We start from the raw sequence: 8,196 nt of genomic DNA, 5'->3' as shown, positions 1-8,196 counted from the left end.
CCCGCCACCAAGCCCAGCTAATTTTTGTATTTTTAGAGGAGATGGGCTTTCACCATATTGGCCAGGCTGGTCTCGAACTCCTGACCTTGTGATCCACCCGTCTTGGCCTCTCAAAGTGCTGGGATTACAGGCGTGAGCCACTGCGCCCAGCTGAATTTAACATTTTTGAAGAATACAGGCCAGGTAATTTTTTTTTTTTTTTTTTTTGAGACAGAGTCTCGCTCTGTCGCCCAGGCTGGAGTGCAGTGGTGCAATCTTGGCTCATTGCCAGCTCTGCCTCCCAGGTTCATGTCATTCTGCCTCAGCTTCCCGAGTAGCTGGGACTACAGGCGCCCGCCACCAAGCCCGGCTAATTTTTTGTATTTTTAGTAGAAACAGGGTTTCACCGTGTTAGCCAGGATAATCTTGATCTCCTGACCTCCTGATCCGCCTGCCTCGGCCTTCCGAAGTACTGGGATTACAGGTGTAAGCCACCGTGCCCTGCCAAATATAGGCCAGGTATTCTATAGAATGTTCCTGAGTTTGGGTTTGTCTGTTATTTCCTCATGATTAGATTACACTTTTAAAAATGTATTTAGTTTGTCATGTAACCCCAAATACTCAGATAGATTTCACTTTTAGCAGGAAAACAACAGATGTGATGTGTCCTCTCAGTGCTTCATATCAAGAGATACATGAGACCAGTTTGTCCTCACTGGTAATGTTAACTTGGTTAAGATGCTGTCCACCAAGTTTTTCTACTGCAAAGTTACTATTTTTATTTTTGTAATTAATAAGAATTTTATGGGCCAGGCGCGGTGGCTCAGCATGTAATCCCAGCACTTTGGGAGGCTGAGGTGGGCGGATCACTTGAGGCCAGGAGTTCCAGAACAATCTGGCCAAGATGGTGAAACCATGTCCCTACTAAAAACACAAAAATTAGCTGGACGTGGTGGCTCACGCCTGTAGTCCCAACTACTTGGGAGGCTGAGGCACAAGAATTGCTTGAACTCCGGAGGTGGAGGTGGCAGTGAGCTGAGATCCTGCCACTGCACTCCAGCCTGGGGACAGAGCAAGACTCCATCTCAAAACAAAACAAAAAAGCAATTTTATGGAGACATATTTTGAGATTATGTAGTTATCCTGGTCAAGAATTTTTTACCCATCAATGTCCACTGAGGATTCTGAATGATTCCTTTGTTTTGTCAATTGCTAATGTTTTCATTTTATCATTTCTTCTACACTTACTTGTTGACATCCTACTATAAGCACTTTTTCTTATCATTTATTTATTCATTCTTTCATATGTTTGGATTCCTGTGTTCCTCCTTTATTCAATGGATTTTATAATCCATTGCCATCATTTTAAATTTTTTTTGTTAATTTTTATGTTTAACTGTCCCAGATTTTGCCAGTGGGAGACCCTTCAAGCTGCCTCCTAGTTCTTCTGACATGTCCCCATCATTCTTTGGGCCCTTTCTTACTTTCTGGTACAATATAATATTCCAGGCTTATTGTGAATTTTTCCTGCCCAAGCCCTTGAATCAACCATTTCTTCAAGGAATGCTGGTTCTTTTTAGTGGAAAATGGTGTTTAGAAAACAAAATACAAAAACAAAATTGGGGTATTACTTCTAGACCCTCACAGCAGACAGCTAGAAAATATGTGTATATGTACATTTATATAACCCCCCACATAGGTATTATATGTACTATATCTATATTTATACTTAGCTAAACCATTAATACCTATTTTCCATTCCAATAACATAGGATTTATTATGTCCCCCCTTCCACATCTATATCTGCTTTCTCTGACAGTAGGAAACTTGGCTCCCATTATCCTCAGCATATTTATTTACTGGATTAGTCAGGGTTCTCTAGAGGGACAGAGCTAATAGGATAGATGTATATATGAAGGGGAGTTTATTAAGGAGTATTGATGCACACGATCACAAGGTGAGGTCCCACAATAGGCCGTCTGCAAGCTGAGGGGTAAGGAAGCCAGTCTGAGTCCCAAAACCTCAGAAGTAGGGGAGCCGACAGCGCAGCCTTCAGTCTGTGGCCAAAGGCCTGAGAACCCCTGGCAAACCAATGGTGTAGTCCAAGAGTCCAAAAGCTGAAAAACTTGGAGTCTGTTGTTCAAGGGCAGGACGCATCTAGCACGGGAGAAAGACAAAGGCCAGAAGACTCAGCAAGTCTGCTCTTCCATCTTCTGCCTGGTTTATTCTAGCTGCGCTGGCAGCTGATTAGGCAGTGCCCACCCAGATTGAGGGTGGGTCTGCCTCTCCCAGTCCACCGACTCAAATGTTACTCTCCTTTCGCAGCACCCTCACGGACACACCCAGGAACAATACTTTGCATCCTTCAATCCAATCAAGTTGACACTCAATATGAACTATCACATTCACTGAGTTCTAGAACTCAGCAAAACAAATAAACACATGTTAGAACTACTAAGCTCTACCACTGGGAAAAACAAGCCAGGGATCTAGAGTTCAATATTTGTTTGCACTCTGAGTCCACATACTGTATGCAAAAGTTTGAGTTAGTTCTTTTTTCTCTTCAGTGTGGTTATGTTTTTCATTTGGTACCATTTGATATATGGATATGTTCACTTGTTTATATTTGTACTCCATGGGGGAGGGGAGTGTTCACCATTAGGGGTGTGTGTGTGTGTGTGTGTCTGTTTATAAAACACTGAGATGGTTCAAAAGTCAAAACTCTGCAAAAAGGTATACTCACGAAAGCATCATGACTTTTTTTAGCAAATAATTTTTCATTTCTTTCTTTCTTTCTTTCTTTCTTTTTTTTTTTTTTGAGACAGGGTTTCACTCTGTCACCCAGGCTGGAATACAATGGTGCAATCATAGCTCACTGCGACCTCAAACCCCTGGGCTCAAGCGATCCTCCTGCCTCAGCCTTCTCAGTAGCTGGGACTACAGGCTCATGCCACCATGCCCACCTAATTATTACTACTTTTTTTAAAGATAGGAGGGTCCTCACTATCTTGCCCAGTCTGGTCTCTAACTCCTGGCCTCAAGTGATTCTCCCACCTTGTCCTCTCAAAGTGGCAAATAATTCTTTTTTATTGAGAGTTCTTCCTCCTATTTTTTTTATAACTGTGGGCCTGGATCCTTTGGTTCATTTACCCTGTATTCATTCTGTGCCTTCCTGTTCTCCAGTCTTCAAGCACATACATAGACATACACACAAATTCAGCAGATAGTAAAAAAAACCACAAGATGATCTTTCAGATGACATACATTTTTCCCACTTTTAAACATAACATGATTCTATGTGGAAACAATTTTTTAAGTTAATTTTTTGCACCGTAATTATTTTTGTTTGGTGTATGATAATGACATATTTAAGTGATCATCTAAAAATAGCAATTTTTGTGAAAATGCCACAGTGGGCTATGAGGCCCTAATCTTATTCTATAAAAGCAGAGCATTTCCTTTACTAAGAGAGTAAGCAAACTGGTTTTCTGTTTTTACTTACCTGCAGGACAAAACAGTGCATGAATCACTTCCTCTGTAAGAAAGTGATGGTAGCCTAGGCGCTCATTATCCAAACCATTTGCCAGGTCCACTCTGCCAGCCCCATTTCCTCAGGATGTCTGTCCTTCAGCACTTTCGGCTCCTTCTGGGACAGTCATCAGCTGCCTCTAATCTCCTCACAGTCCAGGTGCTGTGATAATGGTGGTGGTAGTGGGCTGAGACTGTATGTCTCTCTCTCTCTATATATATATTTTTTCTTGTAAAATTTTTTTATTTTTTATTTTTTAAATTATTATTATTATTATTGAGATGGAGTCTCGCTCTGTCACCCAGGCTGGAGTGCAGTGGCGTGATCGCGGCTCACTGCAAGCTGCACCTTCCAGGTTCACGCCATTCTCCTGCCTCAGCCTCCTGAGTAGCTGGGACTACAGGCACCCGCCACCACACCCAGCTAATTTTTTTGTATTTTTAGTAGAGACAGGGTTTCACCGTGTTAGCCAGGATGGTCTTGATCTCCTGACCTCGTGATCCGCCTGCCTCGGCCTCCCAAAGTGCTGGGATTACAGGCGTGAGCCACCACGCCCAGCCTAATTTTATTTTTTTTAAGCTGCAGGTCTTGCTATGTTGCCCAAGCTGGTCTCGAACTCTGGGTTCAAGTGATCTTCCTGTCTCAGCCTCCCAGGTGAATTACAGGCATGATGCCTAGCTCTGAGACTGATTTTTTAAAAACAAGAATCCACTGTGCCAAGGTTGACTAAGATTTTCACCATTATATTTTGAAGTCCTGTTTTTTCTCTTTTTCCTTTTTTTTTTTCTTTTCTTTTTGACACAGGGTCTTGCTCTGTCACTCAGGCTGGAGTCGGGGAGGATTGCTTGAGCCTGGGAAGCAGAGGTTGCAGTGAGCTGTGATCATGCCACTGATTCTAGCCTCAGCGACAAAGCAAGGCTCTGTCTCAAAAATAAATAAGTAAAAATAAAATTGGGGCCAGGAGCGGTGGCTCACACCTGTAATCCCAGCACTTTAGGAGGCCGAGGCAGGTGGATCACGAGGTCAAGAGATCGAGACCATTCTGGCCAACATGGTGAAACCCCGTTTCTACTAAAAATACCAAAATTAGCTGGGCTTGGTGGCATGTGCCTGTGGTCCTAGCTACTCAGGAGGCTGAGTCAGGAGAATCGCTTGAACCTGGGAGACAGAGGTTGCAGTGAGCCAAGATCACACTACTGTACTCCACCCTGACGACAGAGCGAGACTCCGTCTCAAAAAATAAATAAAATAAAGTTCGGAGTTGACAGCATGAAAGTATGAAAGTATGTGTGAATACTAGTGGAATGAGTGCAGATAAAGGAGATAAGTCACAACATACTTAGGCCTGAGACACCCCTGAAAGGTGTGAAAAACAGCAAAGAAGACCAAGAAAGGGTTCAAGAGAAGAACATCAGGGGTTTGGGGCTGGGCGCTATGGCTCACACCTGTAATCCCAGCACTTTGGGAGGCTGAGATGGGAGGATCGCTTGAGTCCAGGAGTTCAAGACCAGTCTGGTCTGCATGGAGAGACCTCCCCATCCCTAAAGTAAATACATAAATAGAAAAAAAATCCAAGGGTTTGGGGTTCTACAAGCCAAGGGAAGAAAGTGAATTAAGGAGAGCATGACCAAGTATGTCAAATGCTACTAAGATGAGGACTGAGAACTTGACTATTGAATTTAGCAGCATACAAGTTATTGGTAACCTTGATATAAGAGCAGTTTCAGTGAAATGGTGGGTGCAAAATGCTGACTGGAATCCGTTCAGTAAAGAACGGGAAGAGAGGAATTGGAGACAGTAAGTATAGAAAACTCTTTCAAGGAGTGTTGCTGCTAATGGGAGGAAAAGTGGAGTGAAGAGGCTTACGTTGGGAAGAATTATAGCAGGTTTTCGCTAATAAGATTCAAGAAGAAATCTGACATTACATGAGAAAGGGAGAATGGCAGGCGAATGGGAAATTGGATACTGTGCACAGGTGAGGGACCCAATTAGGACAGGACATGGATAGGCAGGGAGAGAGAGTATATGGTCTCAAGAGGTAATAGGTGGCTTAGATATGGTTGTGGGAGGCTGTCCCCTGCTGATTGCTTGTATTTTACTAAAGTGGGAAGGAAGGTCATCTATTGGGATGGAGGATTGGGGATACAGTGGAGGTCTCAGGAGGAAGTAGTGATGACCTAGTAATAAATTTTAGGTGAAACCAATCTGCTTTGTTCAGCCACATGGGTACAAGTATGAAAACAGAACTGAGTAAACTGGGGATTTGGTTTTGCCAAGCGAGACAAAGCTAGACGTGGCGAAGGAAGTGAGTGAATGTGAGGGAGTGATCAGTGACTGAACATCGGATTTAAAATGGGTAAGGGTAGAAGAGAGGACATCAAGAGCTGAGGGACAAATTATTAGCTTTTTAAAATCTGTTTTCTTTCTTTTTTTTGGAGAGGGGGAGGTAGGGACAGAGTTTCACCCTTGTTGCCCAGGCTGGAGTGCGATGGCACTATCTCAGCTCACTGCAACCTCCACCTCCCGGGTTCAAACAATTCTCCTGCCTCAGCCTCCCAAATAGTTGGGATTACAGGCGTGCGCAACCATGCCCAGCTAATTTTGTATTTTTAGTAGAGACAGGGTTTCACCATGTTGGTCGGGCTGTTTTTGAACTCCTGACCTCAAGTGATCCACCTACCTCCGACTCCCAAAGTGCTGGGATTACAGGCATGAGCCACCACGCCTGGCCAAATCTGTTTTCTTATCTGAATCTTAGAATGTTATTGTGAGGCTTTTATGTGATAATGTAAATACAGTACTTAGCACAGAACTAAGCACTGAATAAACATTCTACCAGTGCTTCTGAAATGAAGCTTTCCATCAGAATCACCTGGGGAATTTTTGAACCGACTATTACTCGGAGGCCAATGCAGACAAATAAATAGAATTTTTGAGGGGGATGGGGATGGGGACCAGGGAATGGCTCTAACTACTCTGCAGGTGATTCACATGTGCAGTCAGGGCTGCAAATTTTTGAATTAACAAAAATGATCTCTATTAACAATTATGAACTGAATATCTCATATGGGCCAGACAATATATGATTGTCTCATGTAAGTCTCACAAGTCTTCAAGGCTCAAACATAAGTGGTAGAGCCAGGGATTTCTAGTCAATGGTCTCGGACACTAAGTCCTTCCCACTATAAGCTTGGTACTCCAGTGATGGTTTGAGGAGCAGCAGCACCCCTCGGGAGCTTGTTAGAACTGCATCGCAGGCCACTATGTCAGTCTGCAGTTTAACAAGATCCCCAGGTGATTCATGTGTACATTAGAGTTTGAGAAGCCTTGAATTATGCCACTCTGATGTAATGTGGACCCAAATCACATTTGGGTCCCTTTGTGAGCCAAGGGCAATGTTTATTTTACAGAATCCTTCAGCTGATGCCAATTGCTTTAAAGCATCAATTTTAAAATTGTTGATTAGTTCTTCGTGTCCTAAAAAAGCTAATAGGCTTCTGCGAAGGGTTATCTCTGGAAATGTTTTAGTTATGAAATCACAGTGGAAGTCATGAGGATTCCTTTTCAGGGCTTTAAAAAGGCTAAAGCCAATTGAGTAGCTGTATGAAACTCCGAAGTGTTCCATGACATATTATTTGTATAGCGTTTCATAGTCACCGAGTGCGATGTTTCTTGTAGTGACCACAGGAATTCATTATTGGGATTCAGGTAAATTGTCTAAGGTCATATGACCAGTAAGACAAGGACTAAGACTTTTTTTTTTTTTTTGAGACAGAATCTCACTCTGTCACCCAGGCTGGAGTGCAGTGGCGCCATCTCAGTTCACTGCAACCTCCGCCTCCCGGGTTCACGCCATTCTCCTGTCTCAGCCACTCGGGTAGCTCGGACTACAGGCACCCGCTACCACACCCGGCTAATTTTTTGTATTTTTAGTAGGGACAGGGTTTCACTGTGTTAGCCAGGATGGTCTCAATCTCCTGACCTCATGATCTGCCTGCCTCGGCCTCCTAAAGTGCTGGGATTACAGGTGTGAGCCACCATACCCGGCCTCAACAGTTCTTTTGAGTTCTCTTTTCGTGCTTATTTCACTATACAGTTGACCCTTGAACAACACAGGATTGAAGCACAGGTCCTTATATGTGGACTTTTTTTCAATAAATAGCCCTCTGCATTGATGGATTCCACATTTACAACCAAATGTGGATGAAAACACGGTATTCCATCAGGATGCAAAACCCACCAATACGGAGGTTTGACTCAGTATCTGTGGGTTCCAGAGAGCTCAGGGACTTGAGTATGAGCAGATTTGGGTACCTGTGAGTGGTCCTGGAACCAGTCTCCCATAGACACTGTGGGCCGACTGGATAAGCCTCTAGAATGTAGGCAAACACCACAAACTATGGAGCAAAACAATCGTTTCCTTGGGTATGGAGCAGCACTGTTTTGTCGGTTGTTGGAGATCTAGACTTGGAGTTATAACAAAGAGAAGCCACTGTTTCTATACTTGGAGAACCTTGAGTCTGTCATAAGCTTTATTCTTGAAAGACTTACACTTTTTTTTTTTTTTTTTTGGCAGAGGGTAGGTTGGAGGTAGGAGTATCAGTACCTTACTGGAGTAACTTTCCTGAGCAGAACTGAAATCACTGTGAACTGAACATGAGCTGAAATAACATGTAAAGCTTTGGAA

The 8,196-nt window shown here is 43.3% G+C and overlaps 1 long non-coding RNA gene across 1 annotated transcript; it reads right to left on the bottom strand.

Annotated features, from left to right (window-relative positions):
• Positions 1 to 1,887: 1,887 nt before the first annotated feature.
• Positions 1,888 to 3,749, bottom strand: LOC124902914 (uncharacterized). The gene is made up of 2 exons (XR_007063270.1): positions 3,483 to 3,749; positions 1,888 to 2,137 (listed from the first exon to the last, which is right to left on the bottom strand). It is a non-coding gene; the product is annotated as an uncharacterized LOC124902914 (long non-coding RNA).

The sequence above is a fragment of the Homo sapiens genome, chromosome 12 (assembly GCF_000001405.40).
Source record: "Homo sapiens chromosome 12, GRCh38.p14 Primary Assembly".
In the NCBI taxonomy this organism is placed as follows: Eukaryota; Metazoa; Chordata; class Mammalia; order Primates; family Hominidae; genus Homo; species Homo sapiens.
This window is presented reverse-complemented; position numbering and strand designations above follow the sequence as displayed.